Source organism: Homo sapiens, chromosome 16 (assembly GCF_000001405.40).
Source record: "Homo sapiens chromosome 16, GRCh38.p14 Primary Assembly".
Lineage (NCBI taxonomy): Eukaryota > Metazoa > Chordata > Mammalia > Primates > Hominidae > Homo > Homo sapiens.
Genome location: NC_000016.10, coordinates 86,306,019 through 86,322,216, shown reverse-complemented (window position 1 = coordinate 86,322,216; position 16,198 = coordinate 86,306,019). Strand labels below are relative to the sequence as shown.

Sequence of the window (16,198 nt, the reverse complement as noted above, 5' to 3'; positions counted from 1 at the left end):
GAACATAGCAAGTCTCCCCATCAAAGAAAAGAAAAGGGAAGAGAGGAGACAAGAAGAAAAGAAAAGAAAAGGGAAAAGAAGGAAGGAGAGAGAAAGAGAGACAGATGAAAGAAAGAAAGAGACAGAGAGAAGAAGGAAGCAAGGGAGGAAGGAAGAAGGGAAGGAAGGAAGAAAGTTGTTCTAAAAAATAAAGTTTAGAAATTAAAATAAAAGCGACAGCTGAGACCCTCCTCAAATGAGTGAGGGTTTGCCCTCCTGCAGAAAATAAAAATCATCTCAGTAAATATTTCTGTCATGCAAAAATGCAAGATTATTTTTATACCTGGCAACCAAATTAGCTTCTCGTATTCAGGGACTCGCCTTTGATCCTTGTGTAACACCAGGGACTTAAATCACCTCAGAAAGTATCGAGGAACTCAGGTGTTTGGGTGTTGGCTGATCAACATGGTCAGGCCAAGGGGAAGGGAAGTCCTCAGGCCCCAGCTCCACGAATCTGAAGGACAGAGGCAGCTGCGTGTGGTGAAGGGGGCTGGAAGGTTTATCTGAGCAGCATGCTCCTTGGCTGGAAGGAGTGGAGAGATGTCGAGCAAGCCACCGGCATGGTGTCCTCTGGTCTCGGAACTGTTGTGGGCTTGCTGGCTCCTGTAGCACTGGGTGACATCCTAAGTTCTGCACCTCCACCACCACTTCTTTCACTCATCACACCCTCCCCATGACACCGGTGCCCCTGTTACCTCCATTTCACAGATGGGGAAACTGAGGCACGGTGACTCAAGGTCACATGCTGAAGGCTACAAGGTAAGTTTTTTGGTTTTTGGTTTTTGGTTTTTTTTGAGACGGAGTCTCGCTCTGTCGCCCAGGCTGGAGTGCAGTGGTGCGATCTCGGCTCATTGCAAGCTCCGCCTCCCGGGTTCACACCATTCTCCTGCCTCAGCCTCCCAAGTAGCTGGGACTACAGGCGCCCACCACCACGCCCGGCTAATTTTTTGTATTTTTATTTCGCAGTGTTGACCAGGATGGTCTTGATCTCCTGATCTTGTGATCCGCCCGTCTCGGCTTCCCAAAGTGCTGGGATTACAGGTGTGAGCCACCGCACCCGGCCTACAAGGTAAGTTTTAAGCCGGGCATCAAAGCACATCATAACCTGAGTGCCAAACCGTCTTTTGGAAACACATAGGCTCTTCTTTCTGTGCCTGGCACCCATTTGTTTGAACCCTACAATACTGCCAACCTCCAACTGCTTTTGACCAACAAAAAATGGCAATTTCGTGTAGTCCGACCTAATAGCAAGCATCCGGTAAATGGAACCTCTAACAGAGGAACAGGCTGTGGGCTATTCTCCAGATAGCTATTCTCCAAACTGGGTGTGGGCTATGTCCAAAAAGTGCCGGGCCAGCTGGTGGCCCAGCATATACTGAGGGTGTGGGCAGGAATATCAGAGGAATTATGGCAGATGACGGAGGAACACAGTGACCCTGGAGAAAGAGGGTCATTAGCAGAGAAAAGGAATCAGCTGGGGCTATAGGTGACTAAGCCCCTTTTTGAGCTAACAATTTGAAAAGACAACCTCATCTTGGAATTTGCAGGTCTTTTATTTTGCTTAATCTATAGCATTAAGAAAGCAGACTCTTAGGGGGAGTTAAAAGATATTAATACTTATTAAGCAAGCTACATATATTTTGATTTTGGTTCCTTGCATCTTACATGAGTGTTATATGATCAAAGTCTTTGCAGCTTTGAGGAAATAATTGGATATTTCTGTCACAGTTTTAAAGATGATGACATTGAGAGGCGGAAGATGTCTGATCTCTCATTCCAATGAGTCATAACCGCTTTCTTTTCTGCTATTAATTTTTCCTAAAAAGTTGTTTCTGGCACAAGGTCACCGAAATCAATTAAAACCCTTAAGCTGATACCTCACTCTGAGCCTACTGCAAATCAGATTTAGCAATAATCTGATCCCAGCTCTCCTGTCATGGGTAAAAAAGAAAACCCTCCTTACTGTGAGATTTTGTTTTCGGTGCCTAATTAGCTTGGTTCCACCATTATTGCATTTTAAAAGTAAAACATGATTTCATAATGAACAGTGAAACCACAGACGAGATGGTGTTGCAATTGGAATCATTCAGATAAGCAAGAAAGTCAAACCAGATGCTCACATGCCGAAGGTGGGAGGGGGCGGGTGCCAGATGCAGCAGATGCTCCGATGACAGGGTTGTCCCCAGAACTCCATGTTTCAATGGCTGGCCCCTCCCTCGATGTTTCATTCTATTTGAGAAGAACGTTGGAATTGGGAGGGCAAGGATGGGTCCAATTAATCAGAATCCTCTCCAGAATCCAGCTCTGGTTGCGTCTTTCTTTTCCAACTTAAGCTCACTGGGCTCGTTCTCGGCGGCTCTCATCCCCACCTTCCCCATGGCCCCTGGATTTCGCCCTGGTGCAGACGCTTCTGCAAAGGTCCTCAAAGAATTGAACTCTGCTCCTCACTGGGAGAAAGTTGCACAGCAGCTGCTTTGCATGGAGGACCTTCTGCTCAGACCTGCAGCCTGGATGGGGCAGTGTCTCAGTTATGGGATTTCTGTAAGGTGGAATTTCCTGGAACCTAGGAATGTGCACACCTCCAGAGCTCACTTTGCTTTGAGAACACAGGAAAATTTGACCTGAGAGCTATGATGAGAGTGGAGGTGAATGCAGCTGGTAAGAAAGCCAGCTCTACCTAGGGCAGGAGGAGGTGGAAGGGAGGGTGACCACAGTGGGAGTCAGATTTAAAATTTCCTCACGCATGTGAATGTAACAATTTAAAATATACTACAGCAACCACCCTTTTCTCACTCTTTTCCTGCTTCTGGATTAGAACTTTACGCCCAAAGGTGTAAAGTCTCCAGAAAAGGAGTTCTTTAGAATAAAGAACTTTCCAAATAAAATGCATTAATTTATTATTATTAATTATATAAATAATAATATTTATATATTTATATATTATTTATATATTATTATTATATATATTATATAATATATCATTATTATATATTATATATATTATATTATATATTATATAATATATTATTATATATATTATATTATATATTATATAATATATAATTATTATATATTATTTATATATAATATATACATATTATATATAATATGTGTATATTATTAATTATTAATATTAATATTATTAAATTATTAATAATATTAAATATCATTAAATTATTAATATTAATATCATTAAATTATTAATATTAATGTCATTAAATTATTAATAATATTAATATCATTAAATTATTAATAATATTAAATATCATTAAATTATTAATAATATTAAATATCATTAAATTAATAATATTAAATATCATTAAATTAATAATATTAAATACCATTAAATTATTAATAATATTAAATACCATTAAATTATTAATAATATTAAATATCATTAAATTATTAATAATATTAAATATCATTAAATTATTAATAATATTAAATATCATTAAATTATTAATAATATTAAATATCATTAAATTATTAATAATATTAAATATTATTAAATTATTAATAATATTAAATATTATTATTCATTGCAAGTTGATTTAACAATTACCTTGTAGATACACTATGATACGATGTAACAACAGCCTAGCTAATCTTTTGTTTATTTCCCAGTCATTTATTGTGCATCTACCATGTGCCGGACACTGCACTGGGCACTGGAGATACAGGAGAGGATAAAACAGACAAAAGTCCCCGTCCTTGCGGAAATCTCCTTGCAGGGATGGATGGACAGGAGGAGATTATAAAGAGATAAATACGATGAGGCTGGATGGTAATGCCTGGAGAAGAAGGAAGTAAATAGAGGAGGGGCAGGAGACACAGTTGGAGATAGGGTGCTTGGAGAATGTGTACGGATGCCTGGCATGTGCTCTGAGGTGAGGGTAGTTATTTCTGCCCATTTTACAAGTGAGGGAACTGATGTTCAGCTGTTAGTTGAATGAATAGCCTAAGGTCACCCAGATCGTGGCAGGATTCAGATTGTAATAATTTAGATTTGCCTGATGCAGTATTTAAGCTCTCAACTGTTTGTATTTGGCACATTATGTTTTTACCTAATACTTTAACTTGCTTTCTCACATCGTGGCTGCCCCACCCCAACCCCCCCGGCAGAAATGATTGTCCCTTTTATGGATGAGGAGATGGAGGCCCAGGAAGTAATCTGCCAACAGCCCTACCAAGCCCAGGCAGCCGGCTGGACCTCCGTGTCTGCATGTGAGGTCAGAGATGGTCCCACTGACTCCGTCCTGCTGGGGCCACTGGGGACATCTGATAGGGAGGGATCCGTCCACAGCTCTGCCCAGAGTGACCTCTGACATGGTTCAGTCTGCAAAGCTCCAGCATGGGCAGCCATAAAGCTGAGAGAGTGCAGATTCCAGGGAAGATTGAGCCGTTTATCGCAGGAAAGCCTCCATCATTGTTGTCAACCTAAACCTCTGGCACCGTGCGTGACCCGCAGCTCCAGATTCTGATCTGAGCCTCTAGGCTCCGGGATGGAGAAAGGGGACCCGATCCTCCCAGGCAGAGGCGAGAGGAGACCAGCGGTGAGCACTTGGTGTCTCTGCCACTCGCCTCTTGGTTTGTTTTTGATTTTTCTATTAAAAAAAAAAAAAAAAGAAACAGTCTTAAATTGGGCCTGTTGTGCTCAGGTCACCAGCGCCTACTTTCAGGGGCAGGGCTGGTTTAGGGGAGCCAAAGGCAGCCTCCTCCTTTGCAGCCTTTTTCAGCGTCTCATGCAGCAGAAGGGCCCTGCCCTTTGCACTTGGCCGTGGGAAGCCTGAAGCCCTTCTCGGGGTGGCTCACCAAGGCCTAACCCACCTCCACTCTGAGAAGTGTCTCGGGGGAAGCTTTCTTCCCCTCGTATATACTGTTTGCAGGTGTATTTCCCCTGTTTGATTTTTTTTTTCTAATTAGGAAAGGAAGAGATGTCTGAACAAATTGACCAGTAGAGATGAATACAAGGAAAAGGTCCAGGCCTCCTCCCCGAAGCTACGCCCTGCAGGGAGCGCTGCTGTTGGCAGGCTGGGGAGCAGCCATTTGGAATTGTTCTCCAGGTGCTCAAAACTTTTTATTTTGTGCTTTCAAGGAGGGGATTACCTTACATGTTGTTCTTCAACTTACTTTTTTCACTTATTTATTATGGAAAACTCTCAAAATCACTACGAGAACATCATTTTTTTTTTTTTGCAGTCGGAGTATTTGATCAATTTAGTGAACCAGTCAGTTTATGCAATTTCTTAAAGTCCAGTCATTTTCTTTGAGCAATGAGAATTATAAAACCCAACCCAACCCATTTCATCTTTTCCTTGGGCTGCCAGGAAGCTCAAAGTTAAATTTCATTAAGAGCTGAAGTTATGAATTCCCTTCTCTGTTCTCTCGTGGAATTAGATAGGTAGCCCGACCCAGCCCTTCCATGTTATAACAACAGATTTATTTTTAAATGCTTCTCCTTCCCACTCTGGATTATCAGTGTCTCACCAAGAAGAGACATGTTTCTTTGTTTATTTTATAGTTGTACTTTCTCCATCCAGTGCCCAGCATTTGCCCAGTGGGTTTTGCTTAATGATTAATGCTGGTGCCCAGGAAGCCCAGAGTCACTGCTCCTTTCTGCTTTTTCACTGGCTTTGGGTCTGGCAGAACTTTCCAATTATCCTGATTTCTATTCTGCTTTGTTTTAAAGGATGTGCAAAATTATTCTTGGCACCAGATGGGACATAAAACTTAAATATATTTAAAAGCAAAGAAAGAGCCATCAAAATGATGGAATGAACTGATAGATCAATTTTAAATCATCCCGGAGGGCTGGGCACTCCTGCTTCTGCATTTTTTTTTTCAATTTAGAGAATTATGTCACAAGAAAGCAAGCAATGACATTTATAAACCCTTAATTTTTCTATACTAAAGAGCTATACCAAGAAAGTAGAAAGCAGAGGAGAGTTTCCACTGGGCAAAAACAGGTTGAAGGTTGACTAAATGCAGTAAAATGAAGGAAGGAAATAATCATAGAAATTGCTCCCCAAATGGTGATATGATCCCGATACCAGGCCAGCCTGAGCAGACAGGGGCCCAGTCATGCTCTGTCATTTATTCAAGAGACAAGATGGCCCGGCACAGTGGCTCATACCTGCAATTCTAGTATTTTGGGAGGCTGAGGAGGGGGGATCACTTGAGGCCAGGAGTTCAAGACCAGACTGGCCAACATGGTGAAACCCCATCTGTACTAAAAAAAAAAAAAAAAAAAAAAAAAAAAAGCTGGATGCACAATCCCAGCTACTCAGAGGCTGAGGCACAAGAATTGCCTGAACTTGGGAGATGGAGGTTGCAGTGAGTCGAGATTGTGCCACTACACGCCAGCCCAGGCGACAACCAGACAGATTCATGGTCTCTGGTGGATGGGCCCCTCCCTCTCAACCAACTTATCTCTACAGAGAAGGCCTGGGGCATTGTCAGCCCAGGACCACACTCCCAACCACTTTTCCGTCACCACCCCTTACAGTCGCCTGCCCCTGTGCACGTCTCCTCACTGTAAGCATCAATGACCCAACTGTATTGAAAAGTCAAAGCCGGGTCAGAGGATTCCTCCTCCTGGGCAGGTCTCCAGCTTCTCACAGCCTTGACGCACCCGTCAATGACGCAAGGTCCAGTGATGCTCAATGATACCCAGAGATATCCAGATGCCCAGTGAAGCCCAGTGATGCCCAGTAAAACCCAGTGATACCCAGATGTCTAGTAAAGCCCCGTGATATACAGTGATGCCCGGTGATGCCCAGTGACACCCAGTGATGCCCTAATGATGCCCTAGGGATGCCCAGTGGTGCCCGGAGATATCCAGATGCCCACTAAAGCCCAGTGATGTCCAGTGATCACCAATGATACCCAGCAACATCCAGTGGTGCCCAGTAAGACCCAGTGATATGTAGTGGTGCCCAGTGATGTCCAGAGATGCCCAGTGATGCCCTAGTGATGCCCAGTGGTGCCCAGTAAGACCCAATGATATGTAGTGGTGCCCAGTGGTGTCCAGTGATGCCAGGTGATGGACATGTCCAGTGATACACAGAGATGTCCAGAGATATCCAGATGCCCAGGAAAGCCCAGTGATGTGCAGTGATGCCCAGAAATATCCAGTGATGCCCGGTAGAGCCCAGTGGTATCTAGTGAGGCCCAGTGATATCTAGTAAAGTGCAGTGATACCCAGAGTTGCCCAGTGTTGTTCAGTGATGTCCAGTGATGCCCAGTGATGCCCAGCAAAGCCCAATGATGCCTGTGACGGCCGGTGGGAATGGTTCTTCCACAGTCCCAGTGCCAGCCCATTCTGAGCACACTTCCCTTCCTCTACAGCCAGGAAGCTGCTGGTCTGTCCTGCGAGCTTCCCTGGGGTCTTCTCCATGCGAGCGCAGCAGTGCCCCTCCCGTGCTCCGGTGCCCAACCCCTGTCCTACTTGCAGACTGTTGTCATCACTGCAAGCCTCGTGTTTAGCTTTCATAAAGCCATCCTGACAAATCCGTTCCGCTCTTTCCTTAATCATTCCTGCTGCGATTCTCTAAACAACGCCCGATTTGTTGACATCTCCAGGGATGTTCAGCTAAGAGCTGTACATAGAATCCAGGTGCAGTTTCAACAGCCCCAGATAAAGAGGGATCAAGGCAGCCTCTCTCCTCGGAGGCCAGGGGGCTCCATGGCCCATGTCCACACCCTGAAAGCTGGGTGGGTGGAGCCAAGCTATCACAGACATTTTTTGTTTTATAATTTTTTTTTTTTTTTAGACGGAGTCTCGCTTTGTCACCCAGGCTGGAGTGCAGTGGCATGATCTCGGCTCACTGCAACCTCTGCCTCCCAAGTTCAAGTGATTCTCCTGCCTCAGCCTCCCCAGTAGCTGGGATTACAGGTGCCCACCATCACGCCCGGCTAATTTTTGTATTTTTAGCAGAGACGAGGTTTCACCATGTTGGCCAGGATGATCTCGATCTCCTGACCTCGTATCACAGTAATTTCTACCAGTGTGACAGCACTGTGGATAATGCTGGCCAAGGAGGCTTCACTTGCCCTCAGTGCTTAGATCGTTTTATTGTTTCTTTGCTTATTATTCTGTTGGTGTATGCTCACCATTAAAAAAAAAAAAGAGTACATATATACAAAAAGAAAAAGGGAAAAAACACCATCTGTAATCCCAACCCCCGGGGACAACAACTTATCTTAGCAAATAGCGCCTGTCATCTGATCAAGGGTAGGGCTAAGCACGTAGATTCTGGAGTTAACCACAGGAGTCCAGGTCATTTAATCTCTCTCTGCCTCAGTTTTCTCATTTCAAACAAGATGCTAATAATAGTACCCACTGCTGTGAAAGTAAACAGTTCCTACTATAGATACGACAGGAAGACCCCAAGATAACAAGATAAACGGCGTTCAGAGGCTCCTACGGGTGGTCAGGAATCAATGCTTTCCTCCTTCCAAGAGGCTTTCTCTGTGCATTTGTCACTTAAAAAATTGGATTACACTGTTTGTAGTTTCTTGCTCAACCTGGCTTTCGTTTTCTTTTTTTTCTTTTTCTTTTTTTTTTATCTTTATGCCACATTGTGGGAGCTGGTGCTGTGAGTCTAGGCACTTAATGCAATCCGCAAAGATTCCGCCATCAGGCGGATCATGAGGTCAGGAGTTCAAGACCAGCCTGTCCAGCCTGATGAAATCCCATCTCTACGAAAAATACAAAAAATTAGCCGGGCATGGTGGCGCACGCTTGTAATCCCAGCTACTCAGGAGGCTGAGGCAGGAGAATTGCTTGAACCCAGCAGGTGGAGGTTGCAGTGAGCCGAGATCATCGCACCATTGCACTCCAGACTGGGCGACAAGAGTGAAACTCCATCCCAAAAAAAGAAAAAAAATCTGCCACCAGCTGCCAAGCGGTCATGCTCCCGAGACACCCTCACTGTTAGACCCTGCACGCTTGTGCATGGCAAGGAGAGGCTCCAGAAATGTTAACTTTTTCTTTAGAATTTTCCTCAGTTGACTTCTCCTCCAAACATTAAACACAACAAGCCCACATATCTGAGCTTCAGCTGCAAGTGCACAATGCATCCCTTGGTTGATGCAGGAGACACGTTTTGCTAGAAGAAAGTCCAGTGTTGGCCTGGCGTGGCGGCTCACGCCTGTAATCCCAGCACTTTGGGAGGCCGAGGCGGGCAGATCGCCTGAGGTCGAGAGTTCAAGACAAGCCTGACCAACATGGAGAAACCCCGTCTCTACTAAAAATACAAAAATTAGCTGGATGTGGTGATGCATGCCTGTAATCCCAGCTACTCAGGAGGCTGAGGCGGGAGGATCGCTTGAACCCGGGAGGCGGAGGTTTTGGTAAGCCGAGATCGCGACATTGCACTCCAGCCTGGGCAACAAGAGCGAAACTCTGTCTCAAAAAAAAAAAAAAAAAAAAAAGCAAAAGAAAGAAAAGAAAGTCCAGTGTTAACAGAGACACATGAGTTTATTTCTTTTTTCTGTAATGTATTATTCTCCTGTGAGTGAGTGGTTTGTGCATTTTTGGACTGGATGGAGTTGGCCAGAGCCAAGGCGAGAGCTGTCCAAACTTCACTCATTTCCACATGAAGCCTCCTGTATTAGTGTAGGCAGCTGTGGGGCTCCAGGGACTCATATGCTGGCGGCCAGGATAGAGTGTGTTGAAGAAGTCAGGGGACTCTAGATCTGAAGTTTGATGCATGGTATCAGAGGGTGGAACAGACTGTCAGAGAGACGGGAGAGAGGCTCAGGGAGACGGATAGGTGCGGGGAAGGAGAAAGCAGGGTGGGGAAGAGGAAAGGAAAGACAAGGGACAAAAAAGAGATAGAGGCTGAGCACGGTGGCTCACGCCTGTAATCCCAACGCTTTGGGAGGCCAAGGCAGGCGGATCACGAGGTCAAGAGATCGAGACCATCCTGGCCAATATGGTGAAATCCCATCTCTACTAAAAATACAAAAATTAGCCGGGTGTGGTGGCGGGCACCTGTAATCCCAGCTACTCTGGAGTCTGAGGCAGGAGAATCGCTTGAACCTCGGAGGCAGAGGTTGCAGTGAGCCGAGATCACGCCACTGCATTCCAGCCTGGGCAACAAGAGCAAAACTCCGTCTTAAAAAAAAAAATAGGGAGAGAGAAGTGCACACATGCAGACAGAGAGACAGACAGAAAGAAAGAGATGGAGAGCGACCAAGACAGCCAAAGAGAAAGCCCCAGAGTGAACACGTATCGCATTTTCATGGTCTTCAATCCATGAGCACAATAAGTTCTCCTCTCCAGTGTCCTGCCTTCGTGTGTAGTGTGTCCGTGAACTGTAGCCCCGATCATTTAAAACAGAATTGTAGGTGTGGCCTTGGAGAAGCACCACTCTGTGGATCCCTGCAATCCGCGGAAGCTGTGGATCCCTGCAATCTGCGGAAACTGTTTCCAATGGCAGCTCCATCCAATTAGGTTTCAGCTTGCCTGTCTGTACTGACTTAAAAACTGAGGTGCCACCCCTGGATTCACCCACACAACTTTTGGGGATCCAGGGCACTGGCTCCCTACCCCAGAGCCCTGGGCCTGGGAAGAGAACCCAGTGTCCAAGTGCCCAGTGGGTGCCCAGTGGCATCACCCGTGGCAGACTAGAGATGGCTAAAACCCCTCACATCAGGGGGTCCTGTAGCCAGCTCCCAGAACAGGGGCTCAGTAGGGCTTTAGGATGTTTTTTGTATATTAGGACTCTTTTGGAGTCTTCTTGGAGGCGACAACCAAAGATAAAGCCACCTCTTACATTTGGTCATCTTTGCAGACAGGTAAAGTGGAGTCAAAAGGTAAGTAACTTTCAATTACTTGAAGGTAAAACCATCATCTGATAGGAAAACCAAGGACATGGCTCTGGGTGTCTACCCTGAGGCCCACGCCTGCTGCCACCCTCCCCAAGTGCTTCCAGAGGTTCAGCCACAAGGAATGCCAGGTTAGAACAGGTACCGGATGTCCCAAGAAGGCTGGGCAAGCTGACTTAGCTAGAAGACTGAGGTTGCATATGGGCAGTAGGGCATTCACCATAAGTGGGTTGGGATGTTTAGGAGGAGAGGAGGAGGGAGAGGAGAAAAAAGGAGAAGAAGGAAGAAGAGGAAGAAAAGGAAGAATGAGGAGAAACAGAAGGAAGAGGAAGGACCAGGAAGATGAAGGAAGAGGAGGAGGAGGAGAAAGAGAAGGAAGAAGAGAAGAAGAAAAGAGGAAGAAGGGAGAAAGGGAGGGAAGGAGGGAGGGAAGAGCAAAACTGGATATCCAGCTACCTGGAAACACTTCCATTCAATGTTTCCTGGAACCTCCCAGAAGTTTACAGCTAGGTGCTTCTAGGTCCATGAACAACTCTACAAACCCCTGGTGACATCTCTGAAGTGAAGAAGTGGGGCTTGACCTGACTTCCATACCTTCCAGCTCTGGGATTCCAGAATTCCATGAAATCGTCACCATATCAGGTCGTACTCAGGGTCGCATTGGAACTCCTGTGCACACTGCATTTGCAGTAAAGGAATATTATTTCATTACAAGAACAAATTATTATTATTGCCAAGTGGAGGGCAAGTGGGGCCCTGGGCTAATGAAACCATACCTCCTGAGGACCAGCAGCTCCTGTATGAAGACATTGATCTCTCCTCCTGGGCAGCTAAGCCTGAAAAAAATCCGCTTTTAATTACCAATTGGCATTGACTTAAAGTGCCATAGCTGTCTTATCACATTTAGAGTACTTGTCTACTTAAGATGGTTAATTTAAAGTGATATCCTTAATTTCCTCATGATTTCCAGTTTATGTTAACTTTAACCTGCTAGTTTGTAAATGCATTCTCTCTTTGATGACCTCAAAGCAAATCCCACACTTTGGTCTCCAATTACTTCAGAGGTAATACCCAAGCTTAGGTTTATCATCACTGCTCTGTCTGCATTGAATACAAATGATAATGGTCTTTCCCATTCCCATGACACTATGATTCGGAACAGGCTTCAAACACATGATCATGACAAGCCGGCTGGTGCTGGCTGCTGCAAGTTTGCCACATGCCAGGCATGGGGAAGTATTCTAAGGGCATCATCTCATGGCATGGACCCAACACCTAGTGGGCAGGTATCATTATATGCCCTTTTTACAGAGGAGGGAAGTGGAGCCCTGGTCACACAGCTGGGGGGGCAATAAGACAAGGAGCCCAGCCTCTGTCTGCTTCCTCAAGTTGCCCTTTTCAACTTTGTACTCGTCAGGTTAGACACTGTACCATGAACCCAACTGCCAGCGAATTAATGGTGGACACCCAGGGCACGCAGGAGAATGCCAAGTCCTGGGAAAGCATTGGCCAATTCCTCCCATGCTCTGAAACTCTGGGGTGTCCAGAGCAAGCAACATCCACTGCCCACTTAGCAGATGCATGCCCGTGCCCAGGACAAGTGGCTTTGCCAAGGTCACTTGGGTAGAAGGTGAGGGTGATGGGAGCCCTCCTATGCCCCTCTTCCTTGTTGTGCTCTCTGCCTTAAACAGAACCCCAAGTTGCTAAAAGGGATGTCCCTGGGGTCCGCAGTGCCTGTGTCTCACCCCAGCTAGGGGGGGCTCATTTGAAGAATTAAAGTTGGAGGACAGGACCAGTTGCTCTCAGCAGGGACCACTTGAGGGCCGGGGTACTCACTGCAAAAAGGGAAATATTACGTGCTTTTTAGAGCTGCTCTGGGGCTGAGGAGAGGGCCGTGTAAAAGGGTAGAACTGGCACAAGGCCTGGTCCATAGTAAATGCTCCATAAATACTCCAACCTCTCCTCTTCCATGTTCTTCCTTTCTGTTGCCAAAGCCCAGTGGTCTTTGACTACACAACACCATGACAGTGATAACATTTGTTCTGAGTTCCCTAGTGGCCCAGGGAAGGGAGAAATTATTATTGCATAATTTTCAATTTTACTAAAAGGAAAAAAAATCATACACTTACAGAAACGCAACTTTTATTAGCTCCACTTTTTTTTTTTTTTTTTTTTTTTTTTTTGTTTGAGACCAGCCCTTGCTCTGTTGCCCAGGCCGGAGTGTAGTGGTCTGATCACGGTTCCCCACAGCCTCCATTTCCCGGGCACAAATGATCCTGTCACCTCAGCCTCCTGAGTAGATAGGACTACAGGTGTGTGCCACCATGCCAACTAATTTTAAATTTTTTACAGAGATGAGGTCTTGCGGTGTTGCCCAGGCTGGTCTTAAACTCCTGAGCTCAAGAGATCCTCCTGCCTTAGCCTCTCAAAGTGCTTGCATTACAGAGTGAGCCACCGCACCCAGCCCCAAATTTTTAAAAACATTTCCCAGATGGGGACAGGCCTCTTGATAGAGTGGGTGAGTGGTCAGGCCTCTCCCTAGACCTGGGGTTCAAGACTGGAGTTCATTAGAATAACGAGGGTTGCAACTACACAGGGGGTGGTTACTCCGCTGGGCGGGGACCATGATCCATTTGCGTTGATTAGCTCACCATCATCATGGCACAACCTTAGGCAGGGGGTACCACTGGCCCGGTCTGGAGGGGAGGAAATTGGCTTGGGAGCTCACAGAGGTTGCGCAGCACAGCACAGAAAGGGCAGGGCCAGGGTTGACCTGCAGAGTCTGACCGGGGAGTTTGAGGGCTCGAGCCCCCGTGCTGCTGCTTGCTGCTAGACAGCACCTTCCATCCATTTCTAGAGAAGTCTGAAGACGGAGAAGCAACCATCAGCCTGAGTTCTGCCTGTGCCTCATGGATGAGTTGATTTGAATATCTTTCCCCAAAGAAGGTGTGAATTGTGTAAACTCATCACAGTTTATCCACCTCTTCATAATCAGCACATTCTACCCAGTCCTCTAGCTTCCTGCATTCCACAGGAGGAGTTACCTCTTTTGAATTTTATAAGTGTTTGTCAATAGTTATTTTTTTTTACAGTTTAGAAGAGAAAAGTTAGAACACATTAGGATTCCAACAGAGCTCCTGAGGGCTTGGGCTGTGGAGCTGAACTTCTGGGTTTGATCCCTCCATCCACTGCTCACAAGCCACATCACCCGGGATGAGCTGTTGAGCCTCTCTGGGCCTCTGTTTCCCCATCTGCCTGGAGGGGAGGACAATACGGTTACCTGTTAGGGTTGTTGTGAAGATGAAGTGAGTTATGATACACAGAGTGTTTAGTACACTCCCTGACACTAGGCAATTGTCATTTAAGTATGAGAATTTTTAAAATAATTTGGATTAATCAACAAGCATACTGCTTTGTGCCAGGTATTTGATCGAAAGCAAACTCAAAATTTGGAACCCTCATACATTGCCAGTAAGGTTATAAAATGGTACAGACTCTTTGGGAAACATTTGGGCAGTTATTCGAAATGTTAAACCTAGAGTGACCCTATGACTCAGCAATTTTACTCCTAGGTATTTACGTAAGAGAAACGAAGACACATGCCCATACAAAAACATGGGCACAGACGTTCACAGCAGCCTTACTCATAATAGCCAAGAGATGGAGACAATCCAAATGCCCATTGATTGATACGTAGATAAAAGGCAGTCTCTCCTTACAATGGAGTATTGTGCAACCGTAAAAAAGGAATGAAGGGCTGATACATGCTGTGGCAGGATGAACTCTGGAAATATGGTGCTCAGTGAAACAGGCCAGACACAAAAGACCACAGGGTGTGTGATTCCATTTCTATGAAAAGTCCATAGAACAGGGAAATCCTTAGAGATAGAAAGTAGATGCGTGGTTGCCAGGGGTTGTGGAGGGAGGAGTGGAGGAGTGACTATTAGTGAGTACTGGCTTCCTTTCGAAGTGATAAAATGTTCTAAAATTGATTGTGGTGATGGGTTGTACAACTCTGGGAATGTACTAAAACCATCAAATTGTGCATTTTTTAATGGGTGGATTGTATGGTATGTGAATTACTTCTCAACAAAACTGTTGAGCAATCTCAAAGCCTCACCGGAACTTGACTGTGAGGCATCTGCTACCTGGCACTGTGTCAAAGATTGTGTGTACACGTGGTGATATTTTTAAATGTGTCCCTTGATCCTCGTCTCCATTTGTGATTCGAAGGGGATGTTTGGGATCATTCTCGAGTTCAGCCTTTTCCAAAGTAGGAATCCTTTTCCCAAACTGGATTTAACAGAGCCCCGTCAGTTTCTTCACTGCAGGACTTCTCAGAGCCTTTACTATGCCCAGGTGCACAAAGACTCTCCAAGATGAGGGAAGAGTGAGCAACATTCCCAAACTGATCTCTCCAGAGAAACTCCTTGACATTCCTTCAAGGGGCATCTGATGGGACTAGTGCTTTGTGAAACCCATCTTGAGAAAGTTTCTACCCCCCAATTTTTAACTGTCTCGTATATGTGAATGTGGATGGTTTCTCATTTGTTTGTTTGTTTGTTTGTTTTTTCTGTCTCTCTTCTGGACAACTCATTCAACGTATAATAGGAAATTGTAGCATAATTAGCCCCAAACTTTTAGTAATGCAAATGTGGTCATTATTTCACCCACTCTTCCTGAAGCCTTCAGGCACTGATCTTTATTTCGACCTTCTGTTTGCATCTCTGGATGTTCGGGTGAGAACTAACAAATAATCCTAATTAAGGCAGAGAATGTTCTTCGCATGTCAGCCCATGTGCTAAGTGGTTTACATGTCTTATTTCCTTTAATGTTCACAAGAGTTCCATGAGGCAGGTGCCCCATTGTGTAGATGAAGAAACTGAGGCTTTGGGGAGCTTGGTAAATTTTCCCACGTCACACACAAGTGTGTGGTGAGCCAGTGTGCCGCCCACAGAGCCTGAACACTAAAATGCAACATTACATTCGAAAGGAATGAAGAAACAAATGAACAGCTCAAGACCACAAGTATCAGAGGACATGCTGCACTAATGTTTTTATGGAGAGTAAAAGGAACCATGTCATTCCTAATTCCATCAAATAGCTTATAATACATCAAACCACATGGAATAAACATGTGTAACTATTTTAGTTCTTGACAGGCTGAAGCAATACTCCTTTTGGAATTCTTCTGAGGGTGCTAAACATATGCTTGTGGCAGATTTGCAAAACTCATAAAATTACCTAAAAGTTTCACTTTTTTGTAACTCTTGCCTTGGTGATATGCTCGAAGTCTCAGGTTTCAGGAAGAATTTTATAGTTTCTC

At 45.1% G+C, this 16,198-nt stretch overlaps 1 long non-coding RNA gene across 1 annotated transcript, besides 2 other annotated features; it reads left to right on the top strand.

Annotated features, from left to right (window-relative positions):
- The first annotated feature begins 3,681 nt into the window (after window positions 1-3,681).
- LOC124903745 (uncharacterized) lies at window positions 3,682-4,668 on the top strand. Its single transcript, XR_007065166.1, has 2 exons — window positions 3,682-3,926; window positions 4,162-4,668. It is a non-coding gene; the product is annotated as an uncharacterized LOC124903745 (long non-coding RNA).
- Window positions 13,100-13,617: an enhancer, noted in NCBI's record as "H3K4me1 hESC enhancer chr16:86342206-86342723 (GRCh37/hg19 assembly coordinates)". NCBI's record gives its function as "activates a minimal SCP1, AML or CMV promoter by ChIP-STARR-seq in naive H9 embryonic stem cells {active_cell/tissue: H9 hESC(naive)}" and the evidence as "EXISTENCE:reporter gene assay evidence [ECO:0000049][PMID:30033119]".
- Window positions 13,677-14,876: an enhancer, noted in NCBI's record as "BRD4-independent group 4 enhancer chr16:86340947-86342146 (GRCh37/hg19 assembly coordinates)". NCBI's record gives its function as "activates an origin of replication core promoter dependent on BRD2, P300/CBP, MED14 and CDK7 cofactors, and independent of BRD4, by STARR-seq in HCT116 cells {active_cell/tissue: HCT116}" and the evidence as "EXISTENCE:reporter gene assay evidence [ECO:0000049][PMID:35650434]".